The sequence below is a fragment of the Homo sapiens genome, chromosome 4 (assembly GCF_000001405.40).
Source record: "Homo sapiens chromosome 4, GRCh38.p14 Primary Assembly".
Lineage (NCBI taxonomy): Eukaryota > Metazoa > Chordata > Mammalia > Primates > Hominidae > Homo > Homo sapiens.
This window is the reverse complement of record NC_000004.12, coordinates 38,273,636-38,298,733: the sequence shown is the minus strand read 5'-3', so window position 1 is coordinate 38,298,733 and position 25,098 is coordinate 38,273,636. Positions and strand designations below refer to the sequence as shown.

General features: G+C 42.7%; 2 long non-coding RNA genes across 3 annotated transcripts, besides 2 other annotated features; one reads left to right on the top strand and one right to left on the bottom strand.

Moving 5' to 3' along the window:
• Window positions 1–11,237: 11,237 nt before the first annotated feature.
• On the bottom strand, window positions 11,238–18,752 carry LOC105374409 (uncharacterized). 2 transcript variants are annotated; one of them, NR_188372.1, is made up of 3 exons: window positions 18,645–18,752; window positions 18,053–18,148; window positions 11,238–11,573 (listed from the first exon to the last, which is right to left on the bottom strand). It is a non-coding gene; the product is annotated as an uncharacterized LOC105374409 (long non-coding RNA). The 2 variants fall into 2 exon arrangements; NR_188373.1 differs by lacking the exon at window positions 18,053–18,148.
• Window positions 17,648–17,807: a silencer, noted in NCBI's record as "fragment chr4:38282548-38282707 (GRCh37/hg19 assembly coordinates)". NCBI's record gives its function as "represses an EF-1alpha promoter that drives an FKBP-Casp9 reporter gene in an ReSE screen in HepG2 liver carcinoma cells {active_cell/tissue: HepG2}" and the evidence as "EXISTENCE:reporter gene assay evidence [ECO:0000049][PMID:32094911]".
• A 105-nt stretch (window positions 18,753–18,857) lies between the features above and the next one.
• LOC124900694 (uncharacterized) lies at window positions 18,858–22,557 on the top strand. Its single transcript, XR_007058100.1, has 2 exons — window positions 18,858–19,063; window positions 22,100–22,557. It is a non-coding gene; the product is annotated as an uncharacterized LOC124900694 (long non-coding RNA).
• Window positions 19,559–19,728: an enhancer, noted in NCBI's record as "experimental_79608 CRE fragment used in MPRA reporter constructs". NCBI's record gives its function as "activates a minimal promoter by MPRAs in K562 erythroleukemia cells, with activity observed for both the introgressed and non-introgressed 4:38280712 variant alleles {active_cell/tissue: K562}" and the evidence as "EXISTENCE:reporter gene assay evidence [ECO:0000049][PMID:34662402]".
• Window positions 22,558–25,098: the final 2,541 nt, after the last annotated feature.

Sequence of the window (25,098 nt, the reverse complement as noted above, 5' to 3'; positions counted from 1 at the left end):
ATCTCTTCCAATACTTACAGACTGACTTTGGCATAAAAAACTCTTCACCAGTTAACCTGTCCAGAAATTCTTGGTAGGCCAGCTGGTGGGGTCTATGGGAGTGCTTGCTGTTGGAGTCCTCAGGTGGGCTGTCCTGGTGCCTGGGTCCACAGGAGCCAACCTGGCACTGGGACCTACTAGAATGGGCCTAGTGACTAGACCCATGAGGGTGGCCCTGAGGGTCTGCAGAAGACAACTTAGTGCTGAGGTAGGCCTAGTGCCTGGGTCCTTAGGGGTAAACCTGGTTTTGAGTCTGTAAGAAATGGCATGGTTGCAAAGTCTACTAGGGCAAGCCTGGGCTCTGGGTCTGCTGAAATCTGCATCAGGGGGCTGGCCTGATGCTAGGGTTGTCCTAGAGCCTGGGTCTTCAGGGTGAGCCTAGAGCCAGGGGTTGCAGGAGCTGACCTGGTATTAGAGTCCACTGAGACAGGCCTGGTGCTAGAGTCCATGGAAAAATTGGGTGCTTATTCATGCTTATTCCTCCACGTGGAGGGAATCTCTCTCTGCACTGTGCTGCATGGGCTTAGAGAAGGGGTGGTGCAGTTTATGTGAAAATGTCCTTCCTACCCTCTTCAATGCATTTTTCTTATTTCTGTGCTTCAGCCGTGTGCTGTAGTCTCTCAGCTGGGTTTCTTAGATCTTGTGAAGATATTTTCATGCATGATTGGTTGCTCAAATTGATGTTTATGTGAGGGAATGAGTGCTGGATATTTCTATTCCACAATCTTACTCTAAACAACAAATATTTACCTAGCATTAGATTCAGTCACTTACTTAATGATTGTTTAAGGATCACCAATAACTTTGCAAAATGCATGAGAGCTATGCTTTGAAAAGAGAGATTATCATGGCAACGCTATTTTTGAAGTCTAAGAAAAATAGTATCTGATTTTGGCAATCAGACATTTCTGAAATTATTGTTATTCTCATTGGACTCTACATATATCAGCATAGTGAGCATATGTATGTGTGTGAATTTCTGCAATACAGAATTCTAATTAAAGGCAAATGTGAAAATAATAGGAAATATATATACTGGTCTTTGCACCCACTTCCTGATGTAGAGCACTTAAAGTCTTTTTAGATAGGAATGCTAGGAGAATCTTTTGTTAAATATTTTGTCTTTGACCCTGGCTTCTGCCATAGAGCTCCTAAGAAATTTGTAATTCTCTGAGTGATAGAAGCATCTAGTGCAGAGTTCCTAAATCCCTTTTAGGAGCATCTTTTGATAGGAGCATCTTTTGTTCTAATGAGGCAACTCAGTGGGCTTCAGGATCACCTCAGGATCAGGGCTGATTGCCAGGGGAACAAACCATGTGGTTTGAGGGTTGGAACTTTCAGCCCCACCCCACCCTGATTTTCAGGGAGGGAAGAAGGGCTGAAGATTGACTTAATTACCAATGGCCAATGGTAATCAGTCATGCCTGCATAATGAAGCCTTCATAAAAAAACAGAAGGACAGGCCAGGCACAGTGACTCACGCCTGTAATCCCAGCACTTTGGGAAGCTGAGATGGGCGGATCAGAAGGTCAGGAGATCGAGACCATCTGGCTAACATGGTGAATCCCCTTCTCTATTAAAAAAAATATATATATACAAAAAATTAGCTGGGCATGGTGGTGGACACCTGTAGTCCTAGCTACTCGGGAGGCTGAGGCAGGAGAATGGCGTGAACCTGGGAGGCAGAGCTTACAGTGAACCGAGATTGCACCACTGCACTCCAGCCTGGGCGACAGAGCGAGACTCCATCTCAAAAAAAAAAAAAAGGACAGAATGTAGAGAATGTCTGGATTGTTAAACACATGGAGGTGCCTGGAGAATGGTGCCCTCAGAGACAGTATGGAAACTCCTCACCCCTTCCCTCATACCTTGCTCTATATACCTCTTCATCTGGCTGTTCCTCTGTATCATTTGTAGTATCCTTTATAATTAACCAGTAAGTGTAAGTATTTCTCTGAGTTCCATGAGTCATTCTAACAAATTCTTCAAATATGAGAACAGGATATGGGAACCCTGATTTATAACTGTTCAGTCAGAAGTATATGTGACAACTTAGTATGTGTGATTGATGTCTTTGAGGGGTGGGGGGCACTCTTACAGGACTGAGCCCTTTACCTGTGGGTTCTGACCCTAACTCCAGATACATAGTGTCAGGATTGAGTTAAATTGTAGGAAACCCAGTTAGTGCTCATTGGAGAATTTCTTAGTGTGTGGGGAAAACTCCCCATATATCTGGTGTCAGAAGTAAAGTACTGAGAGTGGTGAGTGATTTGAAAGTGGGAAAACAGTTTTTTATCTCTTACAGCAAGTAGCCTAAAGCTATAAGAGTATGGAGTATTACTATGGTGTCTTTTGGAACCAGGGAGCAAGAAAGAATCCAATAGAATCCCAACTATGTAACTTGCTTTAAGCCAAAGCCGGAAAAAAGTGATATGTTCACCATAAATGTGTTCCTCAAAATGCTAAGTATTTCTTTAAAGTGATTTGGTTTTAATTTCATAATTTGTCTTAGCACAAAATGATGATTATGATGACGTGATAATCTACTAATTAAAAGGTGAGAATGGGGCAAATTCTACTTGTAGTAGATTGTTTTCAAAGATGGCTAGTTGAACTAGTTTACAGTCCCACCAATAGTGTAAAAGTATTCCTATTTCTCCACATCATCTCCAGCACCTATTGTTTCCTGACTTTTTAATGATCACCATTCTAACTGGTGTGAGATGGTATCTCATTGTGGTTTTGATTTGCATTTCTCTGATGACCAGTGATGATGAGCATTTTTTCATTTGTCTCTTGGCTGCATAAATGTCTTCTTTTGAGAGGTGTCTGTTCATATCCTTCGCCCACTTTTTGATGGGGTTGTTTGATTTTTTTCTTGTAAACTTGTTTAAGTTCTTTGTAGATTCTGGATATTAGCCCTTCATCAGATGGGTAGATTGTAAAATTTTCTCCCATTCTGTAGGTTGCCTGATCACTCTCATGGTAGTTTCTTTTGCTGTGCAGAAGCTCTTTAGTTTAATTAGATCCCATTTGTCAATTTTGGCTTTTGTTGCCATTGCTTTTGGTGTTTTAGTCATGAAATCCTTGCCCATGCCTATGTCCTGAATGGTATTGCCCAGGTTTTCTTCTAGGGTTTTTATGATTTTAGGTCTAACATTTAAGTCTTTAATCCATCTTGAATTTTTGTATTAATCCATCTTAATTTTTGTATAAGGTGTAAGGAAGGGATCCAGTTTCAGCTTTCTACATATGGCTAGCCAGTTTTCCCAGCACCATTTATTAAATAGGGAATCCTTTCCCCATTTCTTGTTTTTGTCAGGTTTGTCAAAGATCAGATGGTTGTAGATGTGTGGTATTATTTCTGAGGGCTCTGTTCTGTTCCGTTGGTCTATATCTCTGTTTTGGTACCAGTACCATGCTGTTTTGGTTACTGTAGCCTTGTAGTATAGTTTGAAGTCAGGTAGTGTGATGCCTCCAGCTTTGTTCTTTGGCTTAGGATTGACTTGGCAATGTGGGCTCTTTTTTGGTTCCATATGAACTTTAAAGTAGTTTTTTTTCAATTCTGTGAAGAAAGTCATTGGTAGCTTGATGGGGATGGCATTGAATCTATAAATTACCTTGGGCAGTATGGCCATTTTCATGATGTTAATTCTTCCTATCCATGAGCATGGAATGTTCTTCCATTTGTTTGTGTTGTCTTTTATTTCCTTGAGCAGTGGTTTGTAGTTCTCCTTGAAGAGGTCCTTCACATCCCTTGTAAGTTGGATTCCTAGGTATTTTATTCTTTTTGAAGCAATTGTGAATGAGAGTTCACTCATGATTTGGCTCTCTGTTTGTCTGTTATTGGTGTATAGGAATGCTTGTGATTTTTGCACACTGATTTTGTATCCCGAGACTTTGCTGAAGATGCTTATCAGCTTAAGGAGATTTTAGGCTGAGATGATGGGGTTTTCTAAATATACAATCATGTCATCTGCAAACAGGTACAATTTGACTTCCTCTTTTCCTGGTTGATACCCTTTATTTCTTTCTCCTGCCTGATTGTCCTGGCCAGAACTTCCAACACTATGTTGAATAGGAGTGGTGAGAGAGGGCATCCCTGTAGAAGCCACAAATTTTTAAAAACTTAGCCACTGAAGTCACATACCGTCCTTTAAAAATATCCCATTAGTTACATAGTTAAGCCCCATTCATTTTGGAAGAAGGCTGACAACACAGAGCATAATTTCTAGGAAGAAAGAATCACTGATGGCCATCAGAGATTACCTATCACTGTCCACCTTCTGGCTGTCAATGATTTATGCCCTCTAACATGCAAAATATACCCATCCCCTTTCAAGCTTTCCAAAACTCTCATCTCATCAGAGCATCAGCTCAAAGTCCAGATGCTCATTATCCAAATCAGGTCCATGTGCAGATGAGGCTCTTCAAGTCCAATTATTTGAGCACAGTTACTGTTGATCTGAAAGCCTGCAAACTAAAGAAATAAGTTATATGCTTCTCCAACAAACTCAATCTACAATGGTAGCCTAGGAATAAAATAACCATGTAGGAGAGAAAGAGAGTCACACAGGAGTCCCTGGCACATAACAATTCTGAAATTTGTCAGCACATGTTCTGGTAGTTCCTTGATTGGGAGTGAAGTCCTGAGAATAATTCTCCATGGTTCCTGCCCCCACCTTCTGGGATCATGGTTTTGCCCTTTGAGGCATCCTTCATTTTCTATGAAAGATAGCCCATGTTTATACTTCAGTAGTTTTTTCACACTTCTTCCTTCCCATAAATTTTGGGGTCAAATGTCCTCTTCATTTTTATTGTCCTTGTCTCTTTTAGTTCATGCTAGAGATAGTTTTGCTAATACTATTCTTTTAAAATTTTGTGGATCTCCTTTAAATATTATTGATGCTTACTACATTAGTCAAAGGCCACATTTACAAATCTTTTTGAGATAAGCATTTCTATATCTTGGGCTTCTGCTGGGACTGCTCAGGGATATCACCCTTAAGCTTGTTAGAAGCCCTGTTGTTTGACTCAACAATTCTCTAAGGAGACACTGTCTTGGATCTTTCTGAATCTTCAACAAAGTATTTTACAGTCACATTGTATGTTTCATCTTTATACCATGATTCCCTGAGAAAAAAAAAGGGTTTCATCTTTGCCCAGAAGTCGTTGCTATATATTAGTATCAGTTGACATCCAGAAAGGCTAGAAATTTTCAAATCCAGAAATTCCTGGGTTTTACTTTAAATTAAGAGCTACTATTTTAGCTTATTTGTCTCCACTCACATTTTGAAGCAAGACTTAACCAGGGGGCACCTTCAATACTCTGCCTGGAAATCTCCTTAGTTAGATTCACCAATTCAATAGGTGAATTTCCTTCTTTTAATATTATCACAGATGACAGCACTGCTAAACTTTTTCCCACTACATAACAAGGATTCCCTTTCTTTCATGGCCAATGACATTTTTCTTACTTTTCATTAAGCTCTTAATGGCAGCCTCTTCAAAGAACATTGGGTTTCTGCTATCAGTCTCTTCAAAGTCCTTCAGTTTTTCACTTAATGTTCTCCTTAAAATTCTTCTGGATCCTAAGAATTCCAAAGCTTCTCCCACATTTTGATTTTTGTTACAGCATTCCGGGTATAAAATTTAGGTACAAAAATCCATATTAATTACTATTTCTGTATAACAAATTTAGTCAAAATTACTGGCTTAGAGCAACAATAAACTTCTTTTTAATCTCATACAATGTCTGTGTTAGGAATTTGGGAGCAGCTTATCTTGGTGGTCCTGGCTTGGAGTCTCTCGTTAAGTTGTAGTTAAGATGTTGGCCAGATCTGTAACCATTTGAAGCTTACTGGGGCTGGCAAATCCATTTCCAGCATGACTCACTCACATGGCTGGCAAAATGTTATTGGCTGGATGGAAGTCTTAATTACATGCCACATGACCCACTCCACAGGGCTGCTGAGTGTCCCCATTGTCACTGGCTTCCCTCAGAGTCAGTGATCCAAGAGAACAAAATAGAAACTGTACTATTTTTTACAATCTAGTCTCAGAGGTCACACAACATTACATAATCTATTGGTTACACAGATTAACCCTGATACAATGGAGAGGAGGACTACACTAATTCTTTAGCAGCAGGTAAAGATCATTGGAGAACATATTGGAGATGGATACCATTGTATTTATATTTCATTCATGTGCCTATGTATTTTTATCATGATACACTGTTACTTTTTAAAGCAAGGATTTATTGAGTGTCTGCCATATACACTGTTCTTGTTGCTAAAGAAATACTAATTTCCAAAGCCTACAAAACCCCCACTCTCACGAACCCTAGTTCCTAATGTGAGGAGACAGAAAACGACAAAATACATAAGCAATCTCTATGTCAGTTGATGATAACAGCTACAAAGGAAAACTAAAGCAGGACAGAGGCATTGAGATTGCAAGGAGTGGAGCAGAGCATTGTACTTTAAATAGCATGGCCAGAGAAAACTTTGGGAGCAAGGTGACATTTGATCAAAAATCTGAAGGCAGAGACAAAATGGTATTTGGGGAAAAGCTTTCCAGGACGAGGAGGCAGAACATGCAAAGACCTTCAGGTGACAAAATCTTTGGGATGTTTGAGGAACAGCAGAGGAAATTGTAGGCTGTAGCAGATGATTAAGTATAAGAGTATTAGTGATGAGGTTAGGGATGGTAGGTTGGGGGAGAGTATTATAAGTAATTAGAGGGACTTTGGTTTTTGTGCTGAATGATTTGGGAAACCATTGGAGGGTTTTGAGCAAAAACGTGACATGTTTGGACTTAAAATTTAAGAGGATCGAGGTGGGCGGATCACGAGGTCAGGAGATCCAGACCATCCTGGCTAACACGGTGAAACCCCGTCTCTACTAAAAATACAAAAAATTAGCCGGGCGTGGTGGCGGCGCCTGTAGCCCCAGCTGCTCGGGAGGCTGAGGCAGGAGAGTGGTGCGAACCCGGGAGGCGGAGCTTGCAGTGAGCCGAGATCGCGCCAGCCTGAGCAACGGAGCAAGACTCTGTCAAAATAGAAAAAAAAGAGGATCAGTCTGGTCGTTGTGCTGAGAAAAGTCTAAGAGAGACGAGAGATAGGAAGTCCAGTAATTAGGCCATGGCAATAATACAGTAGAGGGATTACAGAGCCTTGGACCAGGAAAGTGAAGGAGGTGGTGAGGTTGGCAGATTATATTTCAAAGGAAGAGCCCTTTCAAAGGAAAATGGGATTTGCTGACAGATTGAATACGGAGTATGAGAAAAGAAGAACAGTCAAACATAACTTTGAGGATTTGGCCTAAACAAGGAGAATAAAGAAATTCCCTTTTATTATGATGGGAAAAACAACAGGAGTGGTGAGGTTGGGATGAGGGGTAATAAATTAAGAGTTCTGCCTTGGACACACTCAGCAGGAGATGTTTGTTAGACATCCAAATGGAAAGTTAACTAGGTAATTGGACACACAAGTCTGAAATTTTAGGAAGTGAGTATAGCTACATATAAGGTCCAAAGATTAAACCCTCCTCACTCTGATGCTCAGAGGTTGGTCAAAAGAGAAGGAACAAGCAAAGGTGACTAACAGATGGTGCAGTCCCAGAGGCAGAAGGAAAGCCAACTGCAAGTAATGTCTGGCAGCAAAATGAAGGAAGGATGTATCAGTTGTATCTAGTGTTCTACTGATAAGTCAGGTGTGGTGATAACGGAGAATTGACCACTCCTTGTATCCCCAGAATTGGAACTTAAGTTAAAAATTTTTTAATGGTATAGTGGTTTTTTGCATTACTATATGTGTGAATATTTTTATATTTAATTTAAATTCTATGTATGCTTAAAAATAAATGTAACTATATATACAAACACATCCAGACATATAATTATTTATAAATACTTCCCCAGCCTATTTCGTGAATTGAAATTATATGCGTCTTATTATAAGCTAAAGTGGTGCTTCTCAACTGTAAACCCCAGCCCACCCCATCATCATTCAACTCTAAGCAAACTGCAATTTATAACATTCTTCGAAAGAATAAAACAATCAACTTGAGTGCACCATCAGGAAATGAATCAGCAGAGTACCATCTGTAGGAAACCAAGCTAAAGATATGGCCAAGAAAGTTAAAGGCATCTTTTTGCTGGAGTATTGGGAGTATTAAATTTCCAACCTTATGCATACTTTGGAAGTGAATGCTTGCAACAGTAGAAAAAACAGCATGGAGATTTCATGCTTATATAAGCTAATACCTGGAATAAATGTAGGACCAATATTAACCTGGCTTAAAGTAGATTTTCACTTAGAATGTGAGTCATATGACTTACATCATTTGCAAAGATTGACTATTAGTTCACAAGATTAGATTTTTAAGAAACATTCTGAATTGAGATATTCACAGGAGTTTCGTCCTTCAGGAGAAAAATTATATATTAATTCCAGTAGTACAAGTATTTAACAACTGGCATAGCAGAGTACCAATGAATCAATGAGACACTCAGCCAATAAAAATGGCTGCCCGACTGGTTGGAACAAGAGCAAGTTGTAAGCAACCTGTGAGTTCATTCAGGGCAGCCTGGCTGTGATATCTACCATCACTGCAGAGAGTATTTTTGAAACGCTGCATCTAATGCCACGGATGCATTTATGACCCAAGCCAGAATGCCAGCTGTGATGTGTGTTATAGTTATATGTAGCTTGATCCTGAACAGTAATTCTCCCACTTGATCATAAACCAGAATCACCAGAACTGGCCCCAACTGGCCTGGGTTTTTTCTAAATCTATTCTAAAAAAATAATCATAGGCAATGCAGTGAGCCTAGAAGGAAGGTCCCACTGGTAGGCATTATCCTGCTGGGGGTCTGCCCTTCTCCAGGCTCCTTTTCTTCTCCCTGCCAGAGGCAAGGGGAGTGGAGGCAGGTCCTGGGAGACAGGCTGAGTGAGGAGGGGGCATCTCCCCAGGGATCCCAGGAGTGAGTCACCCAAATAAACAGATAAAGACTGTAATTCAGAGGCTTCTTACCAGGTCCCTTGGATGGATGCAAAAACATGCATCCATGTCAAGGGACTGGTAAGAAAATGCGGGCAGATCAGAGTTTCTCAAGGGTGCTTCTAAAATGCCTAACACTAAAATGCAGTGTTTCTTAAAAATGCAGATTCCTCGGCCCTGCCCCACATCTAATGAATCAGAATCTCTGCGAGAGAGGCTGGGTTCCACAATTTATACCAGTTTGCAAGGTGATCTCTTGCAGACTAAAGTTTGAGAACCATTGAGACTACACAGTGTGACTTGGGAGAGGAATGAGACAGAGAGAAGTACTAGCTGCATCAGGTAAGACTGCATGCCTGGCGTCACGTAACAGGGCCAGTGTAAGGGACTGAAGGGTTTCCTAAGGAATAGAATCTATCTTTTTCTTCAATTATCATAGATTGCATAGAACCTACATAGTTTCAGTATAAAAGTGGCATCATCCAGCAATACTTTCCAAATCACTTCTGAAAGCAGAAAGCAGGAATGAAAAGATAACATTTTACAGCAACTCTTCAAGGGAGAATAAAAATGCTTTTAATAATATTCTTACTTTACCCCTACTCTGATTTTTTTACCTGCTATATTGCAGGTAAACTATATTAAATTAACTGTATTAAGTTTACTGTACTAAGTCAACTATATTAAGTAACTATATTAAGTTAAAAGATGATTGTGCATAGGAATGAACTTGAAGGCGTATTTCAGAGCCACCCAAATAAATCGGCGTGGCTAGTATAGAGAACGAAAATACTAACTGCTCTTCCCTAAGAATTTACCAGGACTGGTGTCCAGGTTGTCTACACCTCCCAGGAGATGGGTAGCAAAGTTCTGGGTTCCTATGACAGCTTTACAGATATGCAACACAGAATCTCCTACTTTAAAAAAAATAGTCATCCTTTATAAAAGCCAAAAGTTGTAAGATAATGTTAATGTAACATCATCAAAGCTACAACCTGATTGTGCCAACTTAAATCACTTATGAAAGTGACATGCTACAATGAGAGCATATAGAGCAGGGAACAAGAGCCCCGAGAGTTTCGAGAAGCCTGGACTGCTTCTATTTTTGTAGATTTTAGAATATTTTTTTTAAAATGAAGAGAAGATAAAAAAATTTTAAATGCCAAAACAAGATAACAGAAACTACGGTATATTGTAAATATACACGTAACAAATTAACTTTTCATAGCAAAAAAAAAACAAAAAAAGAATAAGTAGATGACACAATATAATTGTTCACACAATAATGGAATTTGTTTTTGAAGTATTCATTTATAATGTTTCAAAGGTGGTGTAGTCTGGTTATACAGTCATGGGATATAGGTTAAAAGTTACATGAAAGACAATCTAAATCTGTGGGCTTACTGCTTTGATCATAGCCTGTAAGTGTGTTACTTTGACTATATACATCATAGACCATACATGTCATTTGAGGGTAAAGAAAAAACACCAGAATAGAGCCCCTTTTTAATGGGAGGTCTAAGCCAAATGCCCCACCACTCACCTTCAACTGGGCCTGGTAGTGATGAGTTCTCTGGGCTGAACTGATTCGCAGGACACCAACTAGAAGCAGAACCTTAGGCAATTCATCTATGCACTGTTACCTGGGTTTCCCAATCTGTAAAATAAGGGAAGATAATTATAGAGGTTCCTTCTAGCTCTATGTGTCTGTTACATTTTCATCCATTCTAGTTTGTTTGCTATGCATTTCTACAGTACCTCTCCTCTTGCACCAGAAGAGTGAGTTGCTAGAATTTCCTTGGTGCCAGTGAACTGTGTAAAAGCGTATTCGTTCCTTTTATTACCCTTCAATTCTGTCTCTTGCCCTGGGTTCTTTTCTTTGCCACTGGACCAGCTCTTTAATAAACATTTCACGAGTTGTCCCAATAATTAACAACTAATTAACAAGAAGGCCTTGCTGCTAGGGGTTAGTGCTTTCAAAAAGAAATGAGCAGGAAGGCTGCTTTGCTTTCTATATTCACAAGGCCCCGCCATTGTCATTGTAATCTGCTGGAGATGGTGGTGCCTGAATAGTGTGAACAATCTCATTAAAGATCTCTGCTGGAACAATCAATTCACTGTCACCAGACCATATCGATCCTCGAGAACTGTCATTGAGTTCCAGGGTGTTTGTAAAAAATTGACAATCAGAAGTGTGCTTCCATTTGGGCTATTTATTTCTCTGAGAAACACATTATAATCAAATGGTATCTAAGTGGCTCTCTTGGTTGCTCCTGCATGCTGGAAATGCTGATGAGAAGTTTCCTGACAAACGTTTTAGCGGGATGCCTTTTCCAGACACACCAGACCAGCATGCAAAGCACCTGCTGGTTACTCTGCCCCCTCCTGAGATGCCGCTGAATGCCCATCATGGCCCCCTCTTTGAAATTCCTTAGGTTTCAAGCCTTATCTCACGGTCTTGCTCCTCTGATCACAGCTGACTGGGCCAGGGATGAGCACGTGATCCAAAGGGACCATCTATCCAGTGACCTAGGAGAGAAAGAATATAGTTTAGCCGGAGGTGGTAAAGGCAATGGAAGCAGAAAGGAGGGCATGAAGTCTCCCCAGTAGTGAATTCACTAAACTGGGTAGCGACAAACCCGTGTCAAGACAACTGGCACCTGAGCTGTGCTGTGCCTGCAGCCACAAGCTTGTTCTCCACTGAGGCCCTGTACAGTGCAGGGAAGCAAGCATTTCATGTCTTCATCACAATGGGGGTAACTTGGGCATGCTGCTGTCCTGCATGACCACCACTGAGAGAACCCACTGCCATGACTCTGCCACCCACTAAAAGACCACTCTGCAGTTTTGAGGATGATGCACTGGAAGTTTCAACTTTATTCTCTGCAATAATGATACTAAAAACAGGTCCATACTGATTAACACATGGAATTTGCCTTATTCTATCTATACTGTGGTACTTTTTGATTGAGAAAAATATAAGTTGATGGCTGGGTGTGGTGGCTCATCCTGTAATCCTAGCACTCTGGGAGGCCAAGGCAGGAGGATCACTTGAGCTCAGGAGTTCAAGACCATCCTGGGCAACATAGCAAGATGCCGTCTCTAAAAAAAAAGAAAGTTTTTAAAGAAGAAAAATTTAAGTTGAAAACTCTGCCATTTCAGGGGAGCTGATTAAGTGGTAAAAATGAAGAATAATGACCAAAATTAAAGCAGAAGCTCAGCTTCTGGCAACGGCGCTCCTGACAGCATTGTTTTTCATGTTTACAGGTGGTCAAAAGACAGATATGGAATGCCATCACTTTCCACATTAGGTTCTTATGAAGCAAACATATCTGCAATGCTTGAACTACTGTACAAGGAGATGTAAACAAGGGTGTCACCGTTTATAAAAGCCAAAATTTGTAAGATAATGTAAATGTAACATCATGAAAATGGTTGACTAAATAATGGTCCATCCATGCTATGGATTACCGCGCATCAGTTTTTAAAAGTGAAGTTGACTGATACCTACTGATAGGGAATGAGTTACAAAACATATTGTTAAGTAAAAGAAGACTATGTGTCATTGTCACTTCACTAAAAATAGAAGCAAAACTACACCTTTGTTTAGTTTTCACATACATATGTATATAAACATATAGAAAATAATCTGGAAGGGTATACCCTAAACTGTTAATAGTGGTTATATCTGGAGGGGAAAGTATGATGGTAGGATGGGGTATTATGATGGTAGGATGGGGTGTAAGGCAAGACAGAATTTTTCTTTTTACTATATATGTTTGTGTTGTTGAGTATTTGTAATAAGAACATATTCGTCTATTTTTATTTTAATTTTTTGTAATTTTAAAAAAATTCATTAATATACTGATTTTCCTCAAATTTCTGCCATAGACATCTATTTGTCTCAGGTTTAAGATTATCAGCATGAATTCAAAGAAAAGAACATGCAGTTTTTGACATTCAAAAGACATTTAGTGGTCAAGACAGTAATCTTGAAGACCAGTCTGAATTTCCTTAACTCCCAATACATATCAGATTCAAGCTTAGAAGACTCTGATCTAGTTTCTTTCCCAGTGCAGAGAAAATACCCCATTCACTTATGAGCCAAGACGGGGAGAGAAGGGGAGATGGTGGTAAAGAAAGTAGGTCAGAGACAGCAGCTCAGGGAAGAAAACTCAAGACGAGGCTGGGATGCTTCTGAAACATCCACTCTCTGGGGGAGATAAAAGATACTGGGATGAGACAGTGGATGAGAATTTCTCCAGGACTCATGCAAGGAGGTTGTAGGCTTTAGTTTGAGGACATGTTTAACACCATTGAAGAATAATGATGTGGAGGTGATGGAAGGCAATGAATGGATGAGTCCAAGGCCATATTTCCTGTTACTCACAACCGAAGGAGCCCTCATGCCCCTGAGAGAGGACCCAGAGCTTATGAGGAAACAAGTGGACCAGCAAAAACTTGGGAGTGGCAAGAGAGGCCACAGTGAGCCAGGAGAAATGATCAGGACTATGGGCTCCAGCAGTAGGGTCAGCACATGTGGCTTCTCAAGAAGCCAGACAGAACCAGGCTCACTCAGCAGTCACTAGTCCAAGGAGCTGGTCTGTCCAGACACAGTATGAGGGAAGAGACCCCCTCATCCCCCATGGTATGCACCATCCTGGGAAAGGAAAGAAAAAGGCATGCTCTGAAAACATTATTTATCTAAAGAGACTTCTTATACCCCACCAGATGATACCCAGTAGAATAGACTGAATGGTTAAATGGAAAGGAGACTTTAAATCAGAAGAGATCAGAATATTGCTTCTTGGCAATTCTAAGTTTTCCTGGATTCCCCAGGGAATGAGGCTTACACAAAGCTCAGAGCAGTTTTGAAGAAAATAGAAGCTACTCTTTTTTTTTTTTTTTTCATATCTTGGTTTTGGTGAGAGAATTTTGTGACTCACTGTATTCATATTTTTTAAAAATCTGCTTTCACACTAAGTCACAGCCGCTCTTTGAAGGATAGTCCAATAGATAGCCTAACTTTTTATTTTATTTATTTTTTGGAGACCCTATCCCATCTTTTTAAAGGAAGCCAACCTGCTTATAACTCTTCTCTTTTCAATTCATCTGTGCTTCCTGCCCCTCTACCCACAGCACTCCCCACCCCACCCCCATCCCCCTTTCATTTCCATTGTTCTTGGAAGAGGTCGTTTATCTCTACTGGAAAACTGTGTCTCTTCTGAGAAGTAGCATGAATCCCAAATAGCACAGAAATTAAATTTCAACACAACCCCCCTCCCCACAAAATTGAGCAAGTTCATTTGGGATTTTAAATTGAATGCATTTATTTTTCTTTTAAATTGGATGTATTTCTGGGCTATTGGATAGAGCATTTTGAAAGAAAAAGATGTATATGCATGTGCATACACACATACATATATACGTATGTAGACATACCTGGGGATTTCTGGTAATCTTATTTGTTACCATAGAATTTGATCTATAGTAAAATAAATGAATATGACAGCATTGATCTTTAAAATACTTCTTGAAAGAAGCAGATATTCTGTAAGGAAGTGAAAACGTGAGAGTGAAATTACGTATAAGTTAAATATTCAGAAATAAGACAGAATCATTATTTTATGCCTGACAACATGAAGTGGCAAAAAGACTCTCTGGATCTAGAGTCATGAGCTGTGTTCAACTCTTTCTCCATCCACAGATTAGCAGTGTGAATGGGGGCTAGTCATCTGACTTCCTTGAGTTTCAGTTTCCTCACCAGATGACAACATGTAATCCACCATCCCACAGAGTTGCTATGGCTGAGAATGAAATGAGACAATGTCTATGTAGGAGCATGGTAAATGGTGATAGGATGGTGACCATCATCCTCCTCTGAGATGCTGACTTAAAATACCGCAGGGAGCTGGAGAGTGGGGACAGATCTGGCTGCCTTTGCAGCAAGTTTCCCACTTTTTTCCTTCAAAACCCTGGGACTATACTGTAACAATTAACCAGTTCTGGAACACAGGTAAGATGATGGCAATATGGTCAGTGAATAAAAGACTTGGCTAAGTGAAGTCAGGTCACCAACTTCTACCCATATTTTTCTCCAAATTGGCCCATCACCTTGTTTTCACAAATCAGCTAGGAAGAGTCAGTAGAAATGTTAGCTTTTCTTTTTTTTGTTTGTTTTTTCTTTGTTTGTTTGTTTGTCTGAGACACAGTCTTGCTCTATTGCCCAGGCTGGAGTGCAGTGGCATGATCTCAGCTCACTGCAGCCTCCCCCTCCTGGGTTCAAGCGATTCTCCTATCTCAGCCTCCCGAGTAGCTGGGATTACAGACACATGCCACCATGCCCAGCTAATTTTTTTGTATTTTTAGTAGAGACAGCATTTCACCATGTTGGCCAGGCTGGTCTCAAACTCATGACCTCAGGTGATCACCCGCCTTGGCCTCCCAAAGTGCTGGGATTATAGGCATGAGCCACCGCACCCAGCCATAAGTTAGCTTTTCTTGAGTGCTTTCTGTTTGCCAAGCATTTTACATACACAATTTCATTTCTTTAATAATAGTCACAATAAGATAGGTATTCTTTTTATTTCACAGATGAGGAAACTGAGGCTTAGAGAAGCCTGGTCAAGATCACTAGGTAGTGAACAGAGGTGTCATTATTCAAACCTGGAACTGACCAAACAGCTGTACTTTTCTCCTTCTACAACATTGTCTGCCTGAATACCCAGCAGCTGACATAAAGGCAAATCTTAATTTTACACAGAAACAGAAGACTGTGACAACATGGCCAATTGAAATCACAGATGCATATTGGTCAGTACTTTCACTCTTTTCTTTCACCCTTAATTAATAACAAATAATAAATTTGATGGATTGATTCTCATTTTCCATCTTCTGATATTCAAAATCCCCCTTGAATTTTGGTGGAAGATTTCCACTGCCTACTAATGTCCTGGCAGAGACCTCGAAGAAGCGCCATGTCCTCTGGCTGAATGGGGATGGGCTGTAGAGCTGGAGAGGCCTAAGGAATCACACAGACCAATCAACTCCTTTTACAAGGAAGAGGCTTGGAGGCCTTCTGAGGCAGGAGCATCTACTTAAGATTACTTAATTAAGTAGAGCCGTAGCTCAAAGCGGAATACAAATATCCTTCTTTGGGTCAAACACCTGAAGCTGGCAATGATGACTTGCAATGAAACAGGCTTACTCAAAAACTTAAAAGGAGAGTGTTAAGAATATTGGTAAGGGCTGCATTAGGTCATAAATCTCAAAAATAAAATTCTTCTGCCTGGCCAGGCATGGTGGCTCAAGCTTGTAATCCCAGCATTTTGGCATTTTGGGAGGCTGAGGCAGGTGGATCACTTGAGGTCAGTAGTTCAAGACTAGCCTGGCCAAACTGGTGAAACCCCATCTTTACTAAAAATACAAAAATTAGCCAGGCATGGTAGCACATGCCTGTAATCCCAGCTACTCGGGAGGCTGAGGCAGAAGAATAGCTTGAGCCTGAAAGGCGGAAGTTGCAGTGAGCCAAGATCACACCACTGTACCCCAGCCTGGGTGACAAAGCGAGACTTCATCTCCAAAAAAAAAATTCCTCTGCCCCAAAATAAAAATATCAAATGCACAAGCATTGCAGGTCTAAAGATAATCTCAAGATTCACTCCCCACCTTTATCCCCCGATTTGACAGAACACCAGCATGTGTAGGCACATGCTGCATGACAGAAATAATCAGTGAACAAGAGAGACAGGAGGAGAGAAGGAGAAAGGAAGTAGAAGGAGAAAGAAAGAGAAGGAGGAGGAGGAGGAGAAGAAGGAGAAGGAGGAGAATGAAGAAGAGGAGAAGAAGAAGGAGAAGGAGGAGGAGGAGGAGAGGAAAGAAGGCAATCAGGAGAGGAGAGAGAGGAAAGAGGAGGGAAGAGATAAAACTAATAGTCATATAAACAATGAAGTGCTTTGAAGAGAAGATACAGGCTTCTAGGAGACCATGTAACAGGCAGATTAAACTAGAGAACGAAGCAGTTTACTTTTTGGCTTTCTTCCCATCCCCAGATGAGTTCTCAAGGGTAGAACATTCTCTTACAATAATGTTTGTCACCACTGTGAATACCACACCCTAGAAACCAGAGACTTACTAAATCCTTGAGGTATTACCTCAAGGATAGACTCCTAGAATCCTTAGGGAAAACTTTGACAACTTTTCAGAGACACAGGCCACATCTCCAGAGCAACCCACAGCTCACTTTCACAGGGAATGCAGTTTCTAAAGTCCAGGAAAATGTTACTTACTGGCAACACATTACTCTGTTCTTTTAACACAAATACAGGGACATACGGTGGAATGTAAGCCCCAGGAGGCTGGAGTTTTTACTGTTTGTTCGAAGTTCTGTCCTTAGCACCTGGGATCTGCCTGGCACACAGTAGCTGCTAAAACACTACTTTGTACAGCGAATCACCTATCATGAAGAATTCCCCTATTCTGACCAGATCATGTCAGGAAACCTACAGTCAGGAATGAAAGCACTCACTATGTGCCCAGGAACCAAAAGAAAGCAGGGGGCATCCAATGGGACTTGGGCAATGGAGATGGACGTATAAAATAGCCACGTGAAAACTCCCCGGCAGCGCTTTCATCATTAACCCACACAGGCCAGGTCTTAAGCTCTGGCAAGTCAGGTCAGGCTGCCAGAGCCCTGCTGCCTGCGACTTCCCATGCTTATGGAAGGAAACCATGGGTAGGACCTGGAGGTTTGCAGGCAAGGATGAAGTAGCACCTGAGCTGAGGATGATGAGCCCAGAGGGGAAGTGCCCCTACAACGTTGCAGGCACTGGCTGGCACCAAGGATGCAGGAGCAGAAACACAATCTGGGTCTTGGGGAACTTCGTCTATGGCGGAGGGGGTGGGGGGGAAGATATTAAACAAAGAATCCAAGAATGACAGTTGTGAGCAGTGCCAAAGGGGGAAAGCACAGGATGCTATAGAGATGGGTGTTCCACGGAAGCACTAACCTTGTGTACTTGTAAAGGAGTGGTAGGGGAGGCCTGGGAGCCTGCATTTCTAGCACATTTCCAGATGATTCTGAAGCTTCCAGTCCAGGGACCACACTTTGAGGCCAGAACAAACGGAATTATATGCATGAAAGTAATTCTGGCTGGGGGTGAGGGGAGGAAGGATTTTTGGACGAATCAAAGCCTGAGCAGGGTTTTGAGGGATGAGTAGGAGTTTACTAGATAAGGCAAAAAAAAAAAAAAAAAAAAAAAAAAAGCTACTCCAGGTGTGGGACAAAGCATGAAAAAAGAAGCCAGAGGCAGTGTGGTGGGTCCGAGGAGACCTAGGTGGAAGGATGGGGCTGGCAAATCCCAGAGTAAGCCCAGCAAACAAGATGACCTGGCAGGAGGCTGCCACTGTCCCCAAGGGAAATAGTGCTAGTTATACCAACTCTTTTGAGCAAATGTCCATCCATGTGTATAGGTCAGAGCATTTCCCTAATCCTAGCCACAAGCCGAGAGAGGGGCAGGCTGCAGGCACGGCTGGGTCTCTCCCGCTCTATTTCTTTGGGATTCTGTGCAGTGTCATGCGGGGTAAGCTGCAGCTGCATACCATTTTTTTTTTTTTTCCTCTCCGAATAAAGCTCAGGTCTTTTTTTCTCTGAGTGGCTTAGCTGAGTCCCTTGGAACTGGTTTCCTATTGACTCGGGCTCTTGACTCTGCCAGCCTGGGAGAAATCAGGTCAGTTTAATCACTGCTGATGTCATAAAACCAGCTTACTTAATGGAAGCCTTAATAGAGGGTGGGGTAGGGAAGGGAGCTGAGATCACCCTGGAGGAGAACTCCAAGGGTGGGCGGCTAATGAGGGTTGGAGAAAGGTGGACCCATGGGCGGTGGCTGCCCACGGCCTTTGAAGTTTCATTTGCAGTGTTTTATGAGCCCATGCTGGAGTAAATTGTACCTGCAGGCTGCTGCACTTTGCCCTCCCCAGCAAAAGGAGGTGGAATTCACACTAGTAATGTCTGGCTGGAGGTGAGAGCTTGGGATCCAGAAAGCAAGGAAGCCATAGAGTTTAGCTGGCCCTGACCCTGCAGTGGGAGCTCAGTGTCCCCCTGCTCAGCCTCGCAGGGGTCTCTGTGGGGCTCCCTCTGTGGCCAAGCCACCTTCTCTGGGGGGTTCGCTCAGGCTTTGAAGTGCTTGAGGTCCTAAGATGAGGAGGAAAGAGGAGTGATCAGGGGATAAGTATTTCATATTTCAGATAATGGCACTGATTCTGTACAAACTCAGAATGGAGGTGCAGGTAATCTGTTGAGGAGTTGTTTGCTTTTGTGATTTCAAGCAGTTGTGTTCAAACACCTGTGCATAAACCACTGGCCTCAGAATGGAGGCGCCCAATAGACTTGTAGATTCCTGGTTCTGCAGGCCCGGGGTGGAGTCCACCCTTTGTTGACAGGCGCCCAGGTGAGGCTGACGACCCATCCGATTTTGAAAGCCCTCACCTAGACCCGTAAATGCAGAGGGACTCTGAGGAGGTGGTGGTCTCTGATGAGTAGGCATCCATGGCTTGCTATGCACGTGCCCCTGACAGCCAATAACATCACCCGGTGGGAGCTTGTTAGAAATGAAGAATGCCAGGCCTTCTGAAGCGGAACCTACATTCTTTTTTTTTTTTTTTTTTTTTTTTGAGACAGAGTCTCGCTCTGTCGCCCAGGCTGGAGTGCAGTGGCGCGATCTCTGCTCACTGCAAGCTCCGCCTCCCGGGTTCACGCCATTCTCCTGCCTCAGCCTCCCAAATAGCTGGGACTACAGGCGCCTGCCACCACACCTGGCTAATTTTTTTGTATTTTTAGTAGAGACGGGGTTTCACCATGTTAGCCAGGATGGTCTCAATCTCCTGACCTCGTGATCTGCCCGCCTCGGCCTCCCAAAGTGCTGGGATTACAGGTGTGAGCCACCGTGCCCAGCCTCGGAACCTACATTCTAATCAGCTTTGCAGGTGATTTGTATGCACATCACAGCCCGAGACCCACTGGTTTAGACTCCATGTCATTGAAACCGCTATTACCTGTTAGCTTCCTTGTTGGAGAAGGCCAAGTTGGCCTCCGTGGATGGTGGGTCTTTGGACTATTAATAGCTTTCTGATTCAGCAGTGGAGAGGTCTGGTTGCCAGGAACAAGGCTGCTGCGGGCATTGGCTTTTGTAGCTTGAAGTTGGATATTTGCCTGGATCGAAACACATTAACCAATCAGATACAGTGTATCTGTTTCCTGTTGCTGCTGTAACAAATGAATACATTACCACACATAGTAGATTAAAATAACACATTTATTATCTTACAGTTTCAGAGGTCAGAAGTCCAAAATGGATTTCACTGGGATAAAATCAAGGTGTTGGCAGCTCTCTCTCTCTGTAGGCTCTAGGGGAGAATTCATTTCCTTGCCTTTCCCAACTTCTAGAGGCTGTCTCCATTCCTGGGCTCGTGGCCCCTACTTCCATCTTCAAGGCCACCAGTGTAAGCATCCTCACACATTCTCTAACTGACTTTCCTCCCTACCTCTTTCCTTGATAAAGACCTTGAGATTTTGTTGGCCCCCCTTAGAGAACCCAAGATAATCTGCCCATCTCAAGATCTTTAATTTCATCACATCTGCAAAGACGCTTTTACCATGTAAGGGAACACCTTCACGGTTCTGGGGATTAGGATTTGGACCTTTTGGGGATGCCATTTTCTGCCTACCACAATCATATAAAACAGCCTAAATGAAGCCAATCAGCCATGTGCCTGGCACTTACGTAGCTAATAAATGTCAACCTGCCTGCTCTCAGGCCTGGCCCAATTCATGGATTCCAGAACTTTGGCCACAGTCCCCTTCTGCTACTGTAGCAGAGTTTTTGGTTCAGTATGTGTGAGGTGGGGCCTGAAGCTTTGCATTACTAACAAGTTGCCAGGTGATCCTGGTATCACTGGTTCCAGGATAATAGTTTGAGAACTACTGGCCTAGTGAACAGGGAGAGGGTTTCAAAACCAGGCAGACCAGGGTTTGAAATCTGCTCTACTGTTTGAGAAATTAAACACCTTGGGACTCATTTTCTCATTTGCAAAGGGTTCTCATAAAGTTTAAATGATTCAGAATGGAGCATCGTAGCTTGTACAGAATAGAAGTTTAATCACCAATTATTGAGCCATATGTTACAGATTTTTTTTCTCTTTATCGCAGTCATAAGATTTTCGTGTTATTGTATGACATAGGCCTTGCAGTGACACAGAGCTCCTGCTCTAGGTTGAATTGTACCGCCCCCCCACCACCTCTAAAGTTCGTATGTTGAACTTCTAACCCCTGGTACCTCAGAATGTGAGGTTGCAACAGGATCGTTGCAAGTGTAATTAGTTAAAATAAAGTGTTTGGGGTAGGCTCTAATCCAACGTGACTGAGTCCTTAATAAAGGGGAAAATTTGGATGCAGAGACAAACAGAGGGAAGACAATGGAAACAAACAAAGACAACATCATCTGTAAACGAAGGAACTACCAGAGCCAGGAGAAGGGCCTGGAGCAGATCCTTTCCTAGCACTATCAGAGGGAGTATGGCCGGCCCACATCTTGATTTTTGGATTTTGGCCTCCAGAACTGTGAGATAATAAATTTCTTTTTTTTTTTTTTCTTTTTTGAGACAGAGTCTCGCTCTGTCACCCGGGCTGGAGTGCAATGGCGCAATCTTGGCTCACTGCAACCTCCGCCTCCCAGGTTCAAGCGATTCTCCGGCCTCAGCCTCCTGAGTAGCTGGGAATTACAGGCATGCACCACCACGCCCGGCTAATTTTTGTATTTTTAGTAGAGACGGGGTTTTACCATGTTGGCCAGGCTGGTCTCAAATTCCTGACCTCAGGTGATCTGCCTGCCTCGGCCTCCCAAAGTGCTGGGATTACAGGTGTGAGCCACAGCGCCCAGCTGAGATGATAAGTTCCTTTTGTGTAGGTCAGTCTGTTTGTGGTACTTTGTTACACCAGCCCTAGGAAATTTATATAGCCCTGATCAAAGGAATTTCTTTGTTTCTTCATTACTTACTAGAACACCCTAGATGATGAATCCAGTGAGGGTCAACAGCAGAGAGGAGCTGCCCAGCAGAGAGGAGCTGCCCACCACACCCTCCACCCCATCTTCCTGAGCCTTCTGTGGAAGCACTGGTTTGCTAGCCTCTGAAGGGCCATGGGCCCAGCACCAGGTGCCCTCAGCTCTGAGGCCAGGCCGTTACCTGCATTCAAGATGGACACTGGCTAGAGAAAGCATGTCCACAGGGCTGGTCAGTAGGAAAGGGGTTGTGTTTCTGGAAGGGTGCATCTAACCCAGGGGTTGGTGAGCATTTTCCTAACCCAGGGCCAGGTAGTAAACATTTTTGGCTTTGCCAGTCATGCAGTCTCTGTCACAGCCACTGCACTCTACTACTTTAGCACAAAAGCAGCCATAGGCAATACATTTAAAAAGACGAGCGTGACTGCGTTCCAATAAAATTTTATTTATAAAAAACAGACAGCAGGCTGGATTTGACCTGTGTGTTGTAGTTTGCTAACCTTGCTGAGTAACATCCCCTGACCCTCACTGGTGGGGCCTGTGTTTTTGCTTTCACATTTATTTCACTTGGCATTCAGGGTAGCCACCATACACCCCATGCAAATGACAATCCATATTGGTCCAGACTTAGTTCCAGATGAAACTCATTACCAGATAGTTCCCAGGCTCAGGGATATCAAATGGGATCCAGCAGACAGCCACTTCCCACTGATAAGCAAGGATTCCAGGTCTGAAGGGCAAATGACGAAAGGGAACCTTCAGTCTGCAGAGAAAAGTCAGAATCCTTGGCTCCCAATCAGCAGGTCTTGCAGCATCTCAGCCCTCACACAAATCCCTGGGTCTCCATGATTGGGTGAGTCACTAATGGGTTAACAGCTGAGCTCCATCCTGAAGTTTGGCTCCAGTGCACCTTTAGAATAACAACCTGGGTCTGGATTAACATTCAAGAAAACAACCCCTCAGGAAAGTGTTCTGTAATAAAAGGATCCTATTTCCTCTCTGCCAGCTCCCACCTTTTTCTTTCAAGTCAAGTCTGAAGCAAGCTCAGAAACCTGTCAAGCTATGAATGATGAGTCAGACATTTAACCAAACAAATTTGCTCTCCTGGTGCCACTTGACACCTGCATGAGCCTGCAGTGGTGAAGGTGGGGTTTGTGAAGAGGCAGCAGCCTCCATGGATGAGGTCTTGCACAAACGCTCATCTACATTAAGGAAGTAGCGTGGCCAGCCACAGCTTCAGCCCAGGTCTGCGCACCGTGTTCTTTAAATCTTTGACCTGAACTATGTCATTGCTGAAATTCCTTAAAGCAACTACTTACATCTATAAAATGTTCATTGCCACCAGCCAGATGCTTAGACAAAGGGAAGCCCTGGTCCTTGTGTCTTGAGAGGTCTGAGACACTTGAGGCCTAACGGAAGATTTACTCTACTTCTCCCACGCCTCTTGCCAGCTAGGAGTTGTCCTCAAATATTAAAGCTGGGAGTAAAGGGAAGGGGTTCTTTTACTGTATTATATTACACCATATTACATCAAATCCTCATCTCGACTCCATGAGGTAGGGATTATTCTTTCAATTTTACAGATGAGGAAACTGAGGCTCAGAAAGATGACGATTCTCTAATGACACAAAGCTAGTCTATCAATCTGTTCTCACACTGTTATAAAGATATACCTGAGACTGAGTAATTTATGGAGAAAAGAGATTTAGTTGACTCACAGTTCTGCGGGCTAGACAGGAGGCATGGCTGGGGAGACCTCAGGAAACTTACAATCATGGTGGAAGGCAAAGGGGAAGTAGGTACAATCTTCACACAGTAAGGAAGGAGAGAGAGAGAGAGAGAGACAGCAAAGCAGGGAAGTGCTACACACTTTCAAACAACCAGATCTCATGAGAACTCTGTCACAAGAACAGCAAGGAGAATGTTCACCCCCATGATTCAATCACCTTCCACCAGGTCCTTCTCTCAACATTGGGGATTACAATTCAACGTGAGATTTAGGTGGGGACACAGAGCCAAACCATATCAGCTAGAAAGTAGCAGAGACGGGGTAGAATCCACTCCCCTGTCTCCCAGGGCACTGCTGCCTCTGCTCTGCCAGCTGGAGAGTCCTTCTACTCTGATCCGGATCACTCCATGAGGAGCTAGAAGAGAAGGTGGAGACGGTATGAATATTGGGGTATAACCTGGAGTAGCTCCAGAGTAATTGTAATTTGATTCAAATCAAATCCAGATACTGATACTGCCTTCCCAGAAATATGGTCTACCAGACTGGGCCATGAGCAAAATGGAATCCTTATACCCACGTTAGGCAACCAGGTTGAATTTGTTGAGGTTGAATTTGTTGAGCTATGCATTGCATGGATTCACCTCATAGGCACTTCAGGCAAGTGAGGCTCCAAGTGCATACTTCCTATAATTTTATTAATACTCATGATTGCCCCTAGGGATTTATGCCCAGATGGAAATGGAGGGCAGCCTATTTACACTGAGTGAAATTCTGTCATATGGGAAAAAGAGGATAAAAGAATGAAGGCCTGGTGCAGTGGCTCACGCCTGTAATCCCAACACTTTGGAAGCCCGAGACGGGAGAATTGCTTGGGCCTAAGGAGTTCAAGATCAACCTGGGCAATGTAGTGAGGCCTTGTCTTCTTGAAAAATAAAAAAATTAGCCAGGCATGATGGCATGTGCACCTGTAGTCCCAGCTACTCAGGAAGCAGAGGTAGGAGGATAACCTGAGCGCAGGAGGTCAAGGCTGTGGTAAGCCAAGATAGCACAACTGCACTCCAGCCTGGGTGACAGACTGAGGCCCCTATCTCAAAAATAAATAAATAAATAAAAAATAAAAGACTGGAAACCTTCCAGTACATACTAGGAGCTTATAAAAGTTCATATTCTTTGACTTGAAGTTGTAGATTGCTTTCAAACTGGCCCTGCATCTCTGCCCCTCCCTGTGTTAGGATGTCATTTATATAGCTCCTCTTATCAAAGGATGGAG